At 35.5% G+C, this 17,735-nt stretch overlaps 1 long non-coding RNA gene across 5 annotated transcripts in view; it reads right to left on the bottom strand.

Moving 5' to 3' along the window:
- The window catches only part of MIR99AHG (mir-99a-let-7c cluster host gene), a 561,240-nt gene extending 554,574 nt beyond the window's left edge, over nt 1–6,666 (bottom strand). For 2 of the 5 annotated variants that reach the window (NR_136541.1, NR_136542.1), the window contains exons 1-2: nt 6,587–6,666; nt 5,756–6,040 (exon numbers count right to left, since the gene is read on the bottom strand). This is a non-coding gene — a long non-coding RNA (mir-99a-let-7c cluster host gene). Of the gene's footprint in view, nt 1–5,755; nt 6,041–6,586 lie in introns of those variants that run through there. The other 3 variants (NR_111005.2, NR_111004.2, NR_027790.3) reach the window with 2 other exon arrangements.
- Between the last annotated feature and the right edge of the window lie 11,069 nt (nt 6,667–17,735).

The raw sequence follows: 17,735 nt of genomic DNA, 5'->3' as shown, positions 1-17,735 counted from the left end.
TGGAGTTTCATTCAAATGAGAATCATAGGGGTCAAAACTTCTGCTTTTCTAGATTTTTTTAAAAGAGGGTACCATAAATTATGTAACCAAACTAAACACCTCAATTATACATGAACATATATTGATATAGTGTTTTCATTATGAAAATCAATAACAATGTTGAAGTTGGAGTTCATGAGAGGATCATTTTATTGCCTGCACAGTTTCTGACATATGGTAAGTGTACAACATTGTTCTAGAAAGAAATAGAAAATTGAGAAAGAAACTGGACAACATTTCATCAGGAAGCTAAGAAACTACACAATTCTGTTTTCTCCTTTCCCTTCCCCAAATTAAGCTGATTCCCTGAAAGTCAACAACTTGTCAGCTATGCCCTCTAGTCTTGACCACTGTAGATAAAAACTAAAAAATCTAGCATTAGGCATAAAATATATTACTACATATTCAGTAATTGTAAGATTCTTTTAACATCCTGTGGATTGCAGTGGGTTGTAGACACAAGATGTGTAAACAGGAGTGAGAACCTGAACTACCTTACATGTCTGGATAGTCAGGGTCTAAATAAGCCAAAGTGACATTCTGCAACTGCCAAATTAATGAGAATTAATTTTGTCATAAAATAGGTGTTATATTTAATAAGTAAAATATCTAGGAAAAAGAGGAAATGGAAACATTTAGTCTAATACTTATTTTTAGTAATTCAGACTTACAAAGACATTTTACTACTAACATGACCTTACATTTGTCTGGTATGTCACTGTTTAGAAATTGTTTTGGTATGTATTACCTAAATGATCTGATTGGGTGCAGAAATACCAAAATATGAAGAAAATATTAATGTAGATATTATTGCGAACTCAATAGCTTTCAAACTGACCTATAAAATGCTAAGGTAAAAATATATGTGAACATTTAAAAAACTGAACCAGATACACCATTAATGAATGTAATATATATAAAAAATCTGTTTCTACAGCAAACAGCAAAATCACATGTACTGATTATTCAGTTTGGAATGATTAGGAATGCATTCTCTCAAGTCAGAATCCTTCGTTCAAATCCCTCTTTTGCTGCTTGTTAGTCATGTGACTTTGAGGAGTGGCTTAGCCTTTTTGAAACTCAATTTTCTCAGTTTTGTAAAATAAGGATAGTAATTATACCAAAGGATTGATTTGAGAATTAAATGAAAGAATGTGTGCATAGCACATAGTGTAGCATATGGCATATAGTGGAAATATTAGGCCCCAGCAAATATTAGCCATTAACTCAAAGCCTTTTGTTCCTCCTCTTGGTTCAGCAACCAGTTACAGAGCAACCTCACTGATCAATAACAAGATGTGTTATCTTCAGTTCGTGGAAATACTCGGTAAACACCGAAATATATTGATACTGCTTTTAAATCATGTCGTAAGGGTTAAGCAGGAAAAAAAGCCAGAATATGCAAATGTTTTAGGTCAGTTTTATCTATTTCTTTGCCATCTTACAAATAAGCAATTCTCAATCACAAACTTACTAGTTTTGCTGTGTAAGCCTATGCCCTAATATTTACTCCACTTTCCTAATTCAATAATTAATTTTGGAATAAGGACCGTACAATTATGGTATCAATAAGTACCAGTATGGGGGGGTGTTACATTATTTCTATCTTGTTTATCATTACTTTAATAAATTTAGAAAAACAAAATAGTATTCAAATGCACACGGCTGTCAGTTACCACGTCTTAAATTAGGAAGTAAAGTAACATTTTCTTTAAGATGCTTTACATTTTCTCAGTCACTCTCTGAACTCTTAACTGTAATTTTCTAAACAGAAGATGCTGGACAGTCCTACTATTTTTATTGTCTTTGAGAAACATTCGTTTCTAAGTGGGCACAATTCATCTCTCAGTATTTACAAGGTCCAGAATTATATTTTTAAATAATTGGCTAGATGCAAATATCTCATCTTTGGGATAACTGGAGACTTAAGCAGAATAAAAAAGATTAAGAATAACAGTATAATTCATTGGTTAAAAAAAGTTCAAACTGACCCACCCAAATCTATTTAACCAATCTTGTCATTAAGATATAATATCTGTGTTAACTGAATTCAGAGCTAGCAAAGTGAACCCAGATATCATTTCCATTTTTACTTCATCATAACCATAATTATTTTTAAAGAATACTAATATAAATGATTATTTATTAGGACCCAATTGCATTATTGTAGGATAGTGGAAAAATACAGCTCAATAAGGTCCAGTCTCCCATTTTTCCCTATGATATGTGAATTCTACATACAGTATTGGATTACATAAGTAAATGTAATTTATGTTAGTACTATAAAATTGTATAATCCTATCTTGCTGGTTTTTAACATGAAGATTATTTGGTAGGGTAAAAAAATATTGACCCAGTCTTTCCGAATTCTTGACACCAGTCTTAGCTGTCCCGGGAACTTGAAAGTACGTATTTTGGGCGAGATACTTTTCCTCTCTAATACTTTTACAAAATAAAGACTTAAGCTGATTTCAAGCTCTGAAATTTCTATTTTTCCAGATATAAAAGTAAAGATATATATATTTTCTAATTATTTCATTCTCTTCTCATAAAAGGTAGTGAAAAACAGTTTAAAATATATTTTTAAATCTAAAGACGATTTTCAAACATTAACAAAAATATCATTTTTGCCAAAACATTAATTTCCTCTTAGCAGTAGTATAATAACCAAAAGTATAAACTTAAATAGATAACTAACATAAAATCAATCATGCTTTGGCATTATGTTATCAGATTATATCAAAAACATCTAGAAATCACTCAAGATTATTGTACTAGTTTACAGATTAAAAATACATACATTAATTATAACGCTGACATGGGATTCTATATTTCCTGATTTATTATGCTTTGTAAAGCATTTCAACATTCCATGTTAACTGCTTACCTTTTCCAAGTAATTTTTCATATCATGAACAGTAGAGCTGGATACTGTAATTTGCTTATCATGGTTGCTTGAATCTACATAAATTTCACCTATTTTTAAGTTTTTAAACACCAACTAAGTTGGCTCAATTTTATATTTAATAAACAAAATGATTTGCATTTCCTTATGACTGGCTATTTAAGAAAAATAATACAAGGACCATTTAATCTGAGATTTATTATGAAGGGCCAGTGAAATAAAAGGCTTAACATTGATGAGGTAAAGCTGACATCAACTGGTACATAGTGGTAATAGTTGACAACAATAATTGTAATCCCCAGAATTTGTATGACCCTCCCTCTGCAATTTATAATGTACTTATAATTCATTAATTAAAACATGGATTTGAACCTTAGGAGCATCATTCATTATTCTTAGAGCTGGGGGTGGAAGAATTCAATGTGGTCTCTGTCCCCAAGGGGCTTTCAGTCTAGTGGCAAAGACGTACACACATGTGGCCCTACAGCAATACTGACTGGCACACAGGCAATAAAGGAGATGAAAAGGGGTGGAGAAGTGAGAGATTCTGGTCGTGATGATTTGGAGAGATTTCACAGAAGAGGAGACATTTAACTTGGTCCTTGAAGCAAAAAAGGATCTAGACTCTTAAAAAATGGGAAGGCATTTCACACAAAGAGAAAATCTCTATGCTGGCATTGTCTTGAATTTTTGAATGCAGGAGAAAATGGAAAGAAATTAAGTGATCTGATCAAGGTGATAACAAGAGAAAGAGTCGGAGGTACACTATAATTTTTAACTCCGGGGTCAAAATGGTTCCTGCTACATTACATTGCTTCCTTCTCGAGGGGAGACAATTTCTCTGCTTTCACGACCACCTTCGCCCCCCATTTATTTCTCCACGTTGCTACGCCCTTTACAGGACCTTGCTAGGATGTCCACAGAAAAACACAGAGGCAGCCACGTCTTCATAAAACACATTACATTTCGGCTGTGTCTAAAAATCAAATGAACACATGTAGGTATATTTTTGGCCCCCTTTCCTCACCATTCTCCATCATTTCAAAGGAATGGGAGTTTGCGCTGTCGCCACATGGCACACTCAATAAAATGTTGATCCATTCCTTTAAACCTTCCATTTTTCTACTTCAGTTTGTCAAGTGTTCCCAATTCCAAGAAATCATAATTCATACTGTGCGGGAGGTTGCAGATTTTTGGCTCTGGAGGTTGTGCAGATGTTATTCCTTAAGGAAGACGATCGTGATTGCCTATGTGAGTAATAGCTGTGAGTCGGCTAGAAGCCAAAAGTTCTCTTACAGCAGAATGTATAAACCATTCTCCTACTGAAAGAAGGCCCCCAGTAGGATAATATATTATTACACATGATTCAAATTACAGGATCTGCAGCAGGGGAGCTCGTGACTGATTCAGGACAGTCGCCCCCTGAATACTGATGATGGGATGATGGAATACCTCATGAATTAAAAGGGCCATGGTTTCCCATCTAAATCCTTCATATGCTTTAAAAAGTGACTATGCCTATCATTGCATTCTCTAAGCTTCTTAAATGAATCATGCACTATTATGAAACCCTTGTCAATATTTTTAAAATTCCATGTTTTTGAATAATTATATTCAAAACATCCTTTTAAAAGAAAGACAATGAAACTTCACCTTCTCTGCTAGAAAACTGTGCGCCTTTAACGCAAATATGCAATAAAGATATGACTTAATAGAAATTGCATTGAAGTGTGACCCAGTTTTGCTCTCTGGGATTTTATAAAGCAACCTGAAATCTTCACATGCCACATGTTCCAGCCTCTTTAAGTTATCTATAGAAAAAATGACTTTATCCCTGACAACTAAATACAAATGTGCAAGGCAAAATTGTATTTCCACAGGTTTTCTGCAGATAAATGAACTCATTTGTGAACGTTATTTAATTTGATCTACTTTGGTTATGTAACAATCCTATAAATTTGCTAAAGGTATTACATTGCAAATGGATAGCAGGCATTTTTATAGAAACACTAAGGCAAATGTTAAATATTACACATTTTAAAAAAACAAACTGTATTACTGCAATATATTCTGAAATAATACGTAAGCTGGTCCCTTAACTTCTTTTCAAGCTGGTTCTTGTATTCATTTTTTCTAGTAAATGGATGCAAATCAGGTGCATTGTGCTGGGATGGGAAGGGGGAGATTTGTCCAGAAATGACCTCAGTTCTATTCATTAATAAAATGACAATGTTGGCTGAGAGCAGTGGAGAATGAAATATAACAAGAGTGAACTTTCCTCCATGTGACAGATGCATACAAGTGCTTTTTGGATAAAGCACTGTATGTAAAATGGCCACTGCAGCATAAAATCTGGAAACGTTAAAGGAAGTTCTAAGATACAGATTGTTTGAAAAACCTGCAACTTCCATGGCAATGCACACCTTATTCTCTGTTGCCTTGTACAATTCTGAACCCCAACTTGGAGAAGCATGTATTCATTCATAAGAAGAGGGATCAGACAATATAAACAGAGGTTTAATGTTGTTAAGAATTTTTTTTAAGAAAGAGAAGATAATTTTTGCAAGTTCAAAACAAAATAGAATTGTACCCAGAATCACTTTCAGTGACGGCAGACACCAATGGGGGGGGGGGGGGGGGAGGTAAAAGCCATCAGAGAGAATGTAGCCACATTTTTGCATAGCGGTTTAAATTATGCCAGCAGAATAATTAATGGAAGGACCTAATATGGAAAGGGGGGGGGGTGACAGGAAAGGGGGAAGTCTATGTTAAACAAAGTTCATTACTGCATGATGTAAATGAGTTTCTCACCAATGATGTCACTGATTGGCTGAGCTGCAGAGCTGGCTTCGAGCATGGCCGGATTGGCTGCTAGCTCTTCTGGTGCCTGCCTGCTCGGGCAGCGGTTGAACCAGATACTTTCTGTCTCTCTTGTTGTCGTTTGAAGCAAATCTTGTTCAGCCCAGCTGTGTCTCCATAGTAGTGGCACCCTAAGAGAGAGTCTCCCTCCTGCTTCCCACAGCTCGTCTGTGAGGCGGTCGCTGCTGTGAAATACCAGCTCTTGGTACCAAGCCCAGACAGCGTTCTCAGATCCATCTATAACACACACACACAAAAAGAAAAATAGAAAAAGCAGTTCTTTCATCTGAATTGCATCCTAAGGAGGATTAAGAAGGCTTCTATTGCTACTGATTTGTGTTCCTTCAATTTGATGGTTAAAATAGTTTTTGAAATACAGTATCTTCTCATCTGCAGTAGAACACCATTGGTTAAAATTGGTTAAAAAGATGGGGGGAACCCCCCTCTCCCATGTTTACCTTGATTTCAGAAAAATAATTCTTCATTTTCTTCCTAAGCACCGTAACTGATGTTTTTGGTCCCCTACCAGAATTTTTAAACTCTCACCAGATTTCTAATTACAGCCGAGTCATTATTTTTCAGGTTAAGACAAGGGATCTTAATTAGCATTCTTTTTTAGCTATGCGAAATGAGACAGGGCATGAAACAGAAACAATCTATGGAGAGGCAGAGAGAGAGAAAGAAAAAAAATCTGTGCAGCTTTTACAGTTGAGCTGACACCCCCTCCTTCCCCGCTCTCCCTCCACCCCCCTTGCAAAAAGAATGCAGTCATATGAACTTTACCAGACAATGGAGTACCTACAGGCTCTCCCCTAGACAAGTCCTTTATAACCAGCCAGTGCTATGTGCTGCAGACAGTGGCCAATCGGCAGGCTCCTTTCTGCAGCAGGGACACAATAGGTGCATTGGCCACACTGTCCTCCTAGACCCTGACAGCAGTTCAGGTTCATTCATTGTACACTGGAAGGCACATATGTCTTTAATATTCACTGTGAAATTATCAGTGCGACTGCCTTTATTTCACCATAATTACATCAACCTAATTACCGCGCACAAGCTGCAATAGCACTGTTTGCACAGAGTGGCGCATAGCCATGCATGCCGTAAAAATATGCATGAACATGCCTGCTTATTTCAATAATAAAATCCACCAATTTTCTTCCCACAGCTTCCTCCAGAATACTTCAGTGGAAGATAGCCATCGCTTTTCCCCTTCAAAAGAAAAAAGCATATGTGTGTGTATAATACATATATATACATACATATACAAATAATACATATTAATTAAACATTTTCCTAGTCATTTATTGGGGTGAAGTATAGGAGTAGAATCTAGTCAGTAAATACAAGGTCATTAAATACCTAAGGCATTTACCCCGTATTACTAGGCATCAGAGTGAAGGAGTAAGTGAATCTGCATGAATCACTATAGCCATGACTACATGCCGATTTATTTTGAGTCTAACTGTCATGCACATCTGCATATGCCTAATTTATGTATTTTTATATTACATAATTATGTCATGCCTTGAAACACTGACTCAAAATGCTTGAAAAATTAAATCTTCGCTTTTTGTGTATTAGTTCAACAGAGTTAGGCAGTCTGTGGTAGAAACTGTCTGCTTTTTTATTTTATTTTATGCATGTTACATTTACATATTCATGAACACAAAAGCTGTTATGACCGAGGATTCTGCAGCAGGGGATGAGAAGGCACGATCCCGCATACAGATGTATTAATTTCTAGGGGAAGAATGGCAGCCTATGATGACCAGGAAGAGAAGATGTTTGGGGGTTCCATTTGGGGTTTACCTCATTATATAATAAATGATGTCGCTAACCTGCCAACAAATGTTTAAGTATAATAAACTTGGAAAGTAAAGCCAATTTGTATTATTCGTGGCCATTCATCCACACTGTAAAAAAAAAGAAGCATTTTGAAATGCAGACTTCTGACTCAGGTCCTTGCAGGTAAAATAAAGGGGATGTGCTCAGAAGCTGCTCATTATTTCACAATTTACATATTTCTTGCTCCAAATCAGAATGCTAAGCTTTAAGCTTTGATTATTTTCTAAGTCGGAATTTTACCAATGTTTGCCTGTATTTATTGGTGTATTTTGATAGCTCATGATTCTGTAATCAGGAATGCAATTCATCATTAAAGTAGGCACATTAGGAGAAACAGTAACCTATTTATACTCACGGTGCTGTATGTTTATAACATATAATCATTCCAAAGAGAAAGAATCCCAATCATTTTTTATAATTTTTTATAAATTTATATTTTGTAGTCCTGGTTTTTAAATATATGTAAAATTGGTATCATAAAATGTATTCCAGTTGCTTTTGAATTTTATAAGCATTTTAAAAGAAAAGCACAGCTCTTCTATCTATACTTTCCAAAAATCAAGTTTTAATAGGAGGGATGGGGAAGCCAAATTCCTAACTAAACCAAAAGATCGTACGGCTCAATCATAAAAAACACAAATAATATAAGAAAATACTGCATTTTTATTCCTGAACTGCTACACACATTGAAATTGAAATACCTGAAATCATATATGTAAATTAGTTGCTTGATAGATAATGTAAAATCCTTTTTTCTCTAAGTGAATGCAGGTAATTTCAGAAAAAAGCAAAGCTTATGCAACTACTTGCCTTGCCTTTTTGATGATTTTCCTATTAAAGGCAAATTTGCCTAAATATTTGAATTAACCATAAAAATGTACTAGTAATAAAATTAAATTATGTAGACCTCATTCCTCTCTCCCCCTCACTTTCACACACACATATATATATACATATGTACATACACATATACATATATGTCATATATGTAAATACACATATGTATAAAACTGTGGCTGTCCTTTTTATTTCATAAGAATGTGTGACTTTTCTACCCACTCATCCCAATTCTTTGAACTGACACTGAACAACAACAAAAAAAGCTTAGGAAAATCAAAGAGGTCATACTTAACTGTGAGTTCACCATTTTGCTAAGTAAAAATCAAAACAGAGTTCAAACTGTCATAATATCACATAGATTTAGATCCCACTAACACATAGAATGTGTTTGGAAACTACTGTTATTCAAAGAATTTTACTGAATATATTAATTTCATAAACAAGATTAGTGGATGATTCATATCTGACTCATTTCACAAAATAGTATTTGTAAACAAACACTAAAAATATGGGAGGCCTTTCTTAAATACTACAATTCATTAAACCAGACAAGCTAGGCTTCCTACTTAGAAACACTCTGCCATTGAGTTGCTAGACATACTCGAAAAAAATATTGCATTTCTTATGGTATTCTACTATCCAGTTTTTACTAGCCCTCTCAGATCCCAAACACAAATTGCAATGATGAAATTTTAATATACTACTCAAATTTGAAATAATTTTGCAATAAAATTTTATTTGGAACCACTTTACTAGGTAAGTTAATCAAAAAGTAGACCTTAGAAATTTAAACCATCCTTTTATATAGGACATCCAAAGAAAATTAGTAACTAGTTAGTGTATTTCCACCCTATCATGCTGCTATCCTTAATTAAAATACGATTCTGATCGGCTGCTGTCAGGATATTTTTAATTGGTTGAGTTTTACTATAGATAAGGAATTTATGACCTCCTCCCATAAGATCAAAGACATGCATTTATAACATAACTGTATGGAGAATATAAACGTCATCTATGTTCCCAGGATGAAGGAAAGCAAACTTCTTTACAAAGATCAAAAGCTCAACCTGAGACATACAATCATGATGATCTCACCAAAAGAGTGAAGTCTGCACAAATTGGCTGTAAGAATGTGAAATAGCAGCCAATCGCATTAACTTTATGAATAATACAATGCATTCTATAAGAAGAGTGAACTTGAAAAGAGACACAAAAATAATAAAAAGCAACTTGTCTGTCTGCTCATTGACTTATTCTTATTAAAAAAAACTTAGTTTTAATAAGTATGGAAAATATTCATTAACATGAAGAGACCACTGTTTATCCCCCATCTACAAAATGACAAGCATTCAGATGACAGAACAAGATGCAGCTCATCATCAGAATGGCCCTAAATATCTGACTGCTTTTTGCCCACAAACTTATAGATTAAAAATTCAGTGTTTATGCTTTGGATTTCAAATACACAACCCTTGAACTATTTAATAATGATCATCTTTATAGGATGTGAAAGGCATAAGAATTTTAAAGGTGTCATTGATGGTTCAATTAGTCTACATTCTGATACCAAAAAACACTTCTCAGTGCACAGTTATGGTTGATCTTGTTTATATTGACCTCCAAAAGGTGAACAGTGTATCCCTGTGGGAAAACATGGCACCTCAATTTTTAAAACTGGCTTCTTCTCTTGCAAAGTTCCCAAACTCTTTTAATGGGATTATTTACTAAAGATACAATTACTTCATAAAGATAACATAATAAATCATGACATCTAAATACCCAAAGGAAAAGAAAATCTTCAAGCAGATTAACCAGCTAATGAGAAATATTTTATTAGAAAAAAACAGCCACAGGTTTCAGCAACTTTTAACTTGAATCTGATGGTCTATAATTACTATGATTTCTTTTCCTACATACAAGAAACAGCAGAGAAATTTAGAAAGAAAAATGAAAACCTTTCATCTGAGAAGTTGCCACCAAGTATCTAGGACTATCTCATTGTCTCAGAGTAATGATTTTCATGCAAATAAAAATTATTTTTAATATCCAGATGAATTAGAAAGAAATATTATCTGTAGCCAGGCACGGTGGCTCACACCTGTATTCCCAGCACTTTGGGAGGCTAAGGCTGGTGGATCACATGAGGTCAGGAGTTCGAGACCAGCCTGACCAACATGGTGAAACCCTGTCTCTACTAAAAATACAAAAATTAGCCAGGCATGGCGGTACACGCCTGTAATCCCAGCTACTAGGGAGGCTGAGGCACGAGAATCTCTTAAACCCGAGTAGACAGAGGTTGCAGTGAGCCAAGATCACACCATTATACTCCAGCCTGGGCAGCAGAGTAAAACTCTGTCAAAAAAAAAAAAAAAAAAAGAAAGAAAGAAAGAAAGAAAAAAGAAAAAGAAAGACATGCTCTACTCAAGCTCAAGCCATAGACTAAGTCCAGAATTATATTAAGCAGTAGTTATTAAATTAATGATTAACAAGAAAGTTGTCAGATTGTATCTCACAATCTGCATGTAGGGCAGTAAAAAAAATTGTTCACTGTATACCACAGATGCGCAAAGGAAACATGGCTTCTTCATTTTCTAAAAGTGATCTAATTTTCATTATATGCTCTACCCCACTGTGTAATTACGGATAAGGAGAAGAAATTAAATTTGCCAATTAATTTATCTCATTGCTTTTTGGTTTCAACAGCCTCTTCTGAGTTATTTCCTCTTAGGTGACAGATAGATGGTCCTCCAAAATTTTCCACATCCTGATCCCTAGAAACTGCATATATTACATTATGTAGCAAAGGATAATTAAGGATCCTGATGGAATTAAGGTTGCTAATCAGTTGACATTAAAATAGGGAGATTTTCCTAGATTACCTAAATGGATAAACTGTGATAAAATTATTGCTTTGGTGGGAAACTGGTGAAAGTACTAAAGTCAGGAAGACTAGAAAGTCAGAGATGATATCATGATATGTAGGATAATCTCTAAAATAATAACATAGGAATTTATTACTGCAAAGCTGTTAACAAGATGAATAAAATTTAAAAACTGATTAATCCAAAGAAAGGCAAAAGAAGAAATAATAAGTGGAACAACTAAAAGACAATCAAAAGAGTATTGATTTAAAGCCAGTTTTTCAGTAACTACATTAAATATGTTCATAAATATTGAACTCAAGGATTTTTAGACTAAGTATAAAAACATATTAACTGTGTGCTGTTTATAAGAGACAAACTTTAAATATAAGTATAGAGACCAATTGAAAGTAAAAAAGATGAAGAAAGAAATCCCCAAACACTACATTAAAAAAAAAGAAACAGATTACAATGATACGAGACAAAGAATTGAAGGAAAAAAATTATAGAAAACAAATAGGGCATTTTGTAATAACAAATACGTTAATTAAATAGGAAGATATAACAGCTTACATTTATATTAATCTACTATCATAATTTTATAATATTTTAGGAAAAAACTGGTCATCTCCTAGAAGGATTATTTTAAGTACAAAATTAACCAAAATGACTTTTATCAATATATAGAGAACATGTCAATAAAAAACTTCAGCATATATATTTCATCCTTTTATAATTACATGCAGAATATTATCTTTACAAATACTTAATTGAAAAAGATGTTGGACCATAGCGTAAGTACCAGCAAATTTCAAAGAATTGTAATTATACCATATATTTTATCGGACCAAAGTAGAATTAAACAGATAAACAGTTATAAAGATAATTCAAAAGTAGAACTATAAAGATAATTTGAAAACAACACATAAAAATAACTCAAAAATGTCTACATAATTGAAAGTTATGTAACATATTATAATTAACCCATGTGTCAAAGAAGAAAACAAAATGAAAATTAGAAAATGTTTTTAACTGCATAGTAATAAAATACAACCTGCCAAATTTGTGAAATGCATGTAACTGTAACAGTGATTTAAAAAATACTATAGAGGTAAATATATATATTTTTTAAAACACTAAAATTTAAGCTTTTATTTAAAAAAGCTAGAAAAATAAAAACAAGTTAATCCCAATGAAAGTAAAAGAAAAAATATATATTAACTGCAGAAATCAATGAAACAAAAAGCAGTCATAAAATAGAGAAACTCAGTACAGAAAAATAGTGGTCCTTTGAAAATAATTTAAAATAATAAATTCCTAACAAACATATATTATGAAAAAGGAGCAAGATAATGCCAACATCATTAATGAAAAAAGAGAACATGGCTACAGACACTAAAGGCATTAAAAAGGTGCACAGAGGATATTAGAAATAGCATTGCACCAGTAACTAGAAAACTTACATGAAATGGATTAATTCCTTAAAAAACACAACTTACCAAAATTGGCATACAAGAAAACAAAAAACATGAATAATCACATATTGAACCTGAATTAAGCACCTCCCTAGAAAGAAAACTCCAAGACCAAATGGCTTTACTGGTAAAATTTTTCAAAAATTTAAGATAGTCACAATACTAATCCCATACCAAATCATTCAGAAACCAGAGAATGATGGAACAATTGCAAACGTCTTGTGAGTCTGGCATAACATTGATAACAAAGCCTGACAAAAATTTTACACACAAAAAATGAAAACTACAGAACAATATTTTCATAAATATCTAAGCAGAATTTCTAATCAAAAAATTCATGCCTTGAAGTCATGTATATATAAAAGGATAAAACATCCTGACCAAGTAGAGTTTATTCTAGGACTGAAATGTTTTCACTTTTTTAAAAGCATCAATATAATTCATCGCATTAAATAATGAAGAAGCAAAACCATGCAACCATCCTAATAGATGCAGAAAATTTATTTGATCAACTTTAACATTTATTCAAGATAAAAACTCTTACCAAACTAGTAAAATGAAGATATTTTCTTAGCTTATAATAGATAGATATATAGATAGATAGATAGATAGATAGATAGGTAATAGATGGATAGATTCTTAAAAGTAAAATATTGAATGCTTTTCCCCTTACTTCAGAAACAAGATAATAATCTCCACTATTGTCACTTATGCTCAGCATTGTGCAGTTCTTAACATGTAGGAAAAGTCAAGAAAAATGGTATAAATACATCAAAGTTTCATGTAAAATTGTCAATATTTGGAGATGACTCGATGATGCATAATGGAAATCCAAAACATACAAATCAACTATTAGAATTAATAAGTAAATGTATCAGAATATAAAGTCAAACTACAAAAATCAATTGTAGTTTATATACCGAAACCAATTAAAATTTTAAAATTTTAAAATTCCCTTTTAACAATACCATAAAAATAAATCTTTAGCAATAAATCAACAAAAAGTACTAGACAGACAACTTTAAAATATTACTGAAAGAAATTTTAAAGAACCTAAATAAATCAAGATATATGTCATGTTTATGGATTCTGATTTTTAATATTAGAATCACATCAGTTCTGTCCAATTGATCAATAAATTCTATCAAATCAAAATCAAAATCACCACGTTTTGGTGAAAATTATGTTGATTCCAAAATTTATATATAAAAGTAAAAGGCTTAGAATAGCCAAGATAATATCAAGACTTCTATATCAGATATCAAGAATTACTATGCAATTAAACTAATTAAGACTGTATTGTATTTGTGCAAGGGCAGACAAAAAAAACAGCATAAAACAGAATAGCATTCTAAAGCAGATCTACTCATAAACAATTATCTGATAATATACTATAAATATTATTTTTTCTTTTTATTCAGAAGAGAAGTTTTCCAGTGATTGTGTTAAACAATTAGATATATATGGTTTTTAACACCCTGTATAACAATTAATTTATAGTGACTTATAGACCCAAAATGGGAAAAAAGAAAAAAAAAGAAAGTTTCTATTTAAAAAACCTAGGACAGTTTTTTTTATAAGCTTGGGGTAGACATATATTTAAGAAACAGCAAAAAGTGACTAGCCATATTGTTAATAAAAGAATAATAAATTATATTGTATAAAATAAGAAAGTTATATTCATCAAAAGTCACCATTTAATAGAGTAAAAAGGCAAGTACAAAAGATTGATTGCATTAATGTCCCCAGTTTTTCATGCTTTTTCATGAAACTTTCAATTCCTCTTACTACAGAGGTAGAGATTTTACTCCAACCCTTAATTTCGTATCAGCTTTCTGATTTGCTTTGGCCAATGGGATGTTAACAGATATGACAGACAGCTAAAGGAAGCTGAAAGAGCTGACCATTTCTGTTTCAGCTCTTGTTTGTCTGCCATGATTATAAGAAAATACTGAAACTTGCTTTCTGGAAGATGAAGCATGTGGAGCAGAGTCAAACTGCTTCAGTTTCACCAGATACAGCCATGCTAGATCAGTCAATAGGCAGCCAACCCAGACGTGTCAATGAGTCCAGCTAATAACGGTAGAGCAGCTTGTTTTCCCACAGATGACCACAAATGCATGAGAGAGCATGAAACCATCCGAAACTTAGAGAATCTCAAGTTAAATAAGTGCTATTGCTCTGTGACTCCCGGATTTTTTTATTGTCTGTTTTTTGACAATATTATGGAAAGAGATAACTTATATAGCAAGAAATATATTGCAAGAAGGTTCAGTCCATGCAATATATATAAAGGGGTCACATTCAAAATATATAAAGAATTCCTGACCGGGCGCAGTAGCTCACACCTGTAATGCCAGCACTTTGGGAGGCCAAGGTGAGCAGATCACAAGGTCAGGAAATCGAGACCAATCTGGCTAACATGGTGAAACCCCGTCTCTACTAAAAAATGCAAAAAATTAGCCGGGCGTGGTGGCAAGCACCTGTAGTCCCAGCTGCTCGGGAGGCTGAGGCAGGAAAATGGCGTGAACCTGGGAGGCGGAGCTTGCAGTGAGGCGAAATGGCACCACTGCACTCCAGCCTGGGCAACAGAGCAAGACTCCGTCTCAAAAAAAAAAAAAAAAAAAAAGAATTCCTACAAATAAGTAAAGAAAAAATGTAGGCAACCCAGTTAAAAATGGGAAATAGAAATAAGCAATTCACCAAGGATATAAAAATTTAAGCTACAATTAGATACGACTACATAGCTAACAAAATTGCAAAAATTCAGAAGATTAACATTACTGATAGCAGCAGTGGCCCATATGAAGCTGCTGCTGCAAAGATGCTGGCTGCAGCGGGGAAAGGCACGGCTGGGGCCGCGTGCTCGAGCAGAGCTGGTGGGAGCTGGGAACAGGTGGGAGTTTCTCCCCCAAGTTGGTGTGGTGAGAGCCCGCCCACCTGGGCACGGCTGCAGCCACATAACCACGGCTTCAGACCTAGGCATCCTGTGCTTCTGGGGCCCAGGAAGCCCCCCTGCCCCTGCAGGCTTGGAAGTGCCTGCTCCCACTGCCTGGCATCTCCCCACTCCTGGCACCCACTCTGATTTCAGAGCAAAGTTGTGGCCAAACCTGGGCACTGTCATGACCCAGCCAGGCGTGTACACGCTTAGGGCGGTACTGACATGCCAGCACCCAGCCCCCTAGGCCTCCTCTGAACTTTGGGCACTGAGGAGCATGGGAAGGAGGCCGAGGTGGGGCTTAGGGCAACTTGGCGAGGGCACAAACAGCCTGGGCATCATGAATGGTAGCAGGAGGCAGACAGGTTCCTGGGCAGAAACAGGAAGATCCCCATTAAAACCCCACCTTCACGCCAGAGATGGCCTGAAGCCTGGGGGCTAAGCTGCCGGTTCCACAGACCAGAGTGGAAACTTACGGTGCTTTCTCCAGGTGTGCCCATGGCCACCCATGAACCAATCAACATGCACTTCCTCCCCTCTGAAGCCCATAAAAACTCTGGACTCAGCCAGACTCAGGCAAACAATGGGATGGCCTGCCTGCAGATAGGAGCTACCCAGTCCAGGTTTCCTCTCTGTTGAGGGCTGCAGAGACGTTGGAACAACCTGCCTAGGGATAGGAGCCACCCACTCCAGGTCTCCTCTCCACTGAGGGCTGGAGAGATGTCAGGATAACCTGAGCGCAGATAGGAGCTACCCATTCTGGGTCTCCTCTCCATTGAGGGCTGCACTCATCAGGCCAACCTGCCTGTGGAAAGGAGATACCCACTTTGGATCTCCTGAGAGCTGTACTGTTGCTCGAATAAAGCACATCTTTGCCTTGTTCACCCTCCAGTTGTCTGTGTACCTCATTCTTCCAGGATGTAGGACAAGAACTCAGGATCCACCAAATGGCAGGACTGAAAAGGCTGTAACACAAGCAGGGCTGAAACATGCCCCTCACTTGCCATGTTACAGGTGATGAGAAGGAGAGGAAAGGGAAGAGTTGAGGCCTTTCAGGGATCCCAGACTTAGGAGGTCCCTGAGCCAGGGCTATATCACCCTATTTGGGGCTCTGTGGTTCCTGCTGTCTCCAAGCTTCCAGGTGCTACCATGTTCCCTGGTGCCTGCAGTGGAAGCCTCTTGCAGTACACCTGGTCCAGCTGCAGCAGGGAACCAGAGCCCATGCCAGCGCCTGGTGCTGCCCACCCCACAGCAGCTCACATGCCTAGCTGAATGTAGTGGCTGGACCCTGCATTCACTCACTCACTCATGTACTCACTCATGTACTCATGTACTCACTCACTCACTTCTCTGTGCCTGGCTCGCCCTTGGCAGACATGGAATCTCGGCCAATAGCGAAAGCCAAGCACAGCCTACCAGGCTAAGTGGGCAGAATGAGTCCAGTGGGCTCAAGCAAAATTTGGGCAAAGGTGCCACCAGCCGCAGAGGTGTCTGGCTGGCAAAGCAACAACCCAGGAAGCCCGTGACAATATCAAGTGTTTTCAATAAAGTGAATCAATCAAGCCTCTTGTACTTTGCTAATTTGGCTATAAATTGGTACACCCACTCTTTGCCAAGATCAAATAAATCTGAATATATATACGCCCAGTGATCCAATAATTCCACCTCAAGGTATACAGTCAAGCAAAACAGAACGGTATTTCTACCAAAAGACATGCATAAGAATATTTGGGAAATAGCCCAAAAGTGCATCAATGATAGAATGGGCAAAATAATTGCACACATAATAAAAATGGGTGAACTATTTCCATGTTAAACAACACAAATGTTGAGCCGAAGGAGTCAATCACAAAACTATATATACCATATGATTCCATTTATATGACAGTTAAGAACAAGTATAACTCCTGTATAGTGATAGAGGTCAGAATAGTGTTTCCTTGGTTGGGAAAAAGAATGTTAACTAAAAA

This window comes from Homo sapiens, chromosome 21, assembly GCF_000001405.40.
Source record: "Homo sapiens chromosome 21, GRCh38.p14 Primary Assembly".
Lineage (NCBI taxonomy): Eukaryota > Metazoa > Chordata > Mammalia > Primates > Hominidae > Homo > Homo sapiens.
The sequence above is the reverse complement of the archived record's forward strand: the minus strand, read 5'-3'. Positions and strand labels throughout refer to the sequence as shown.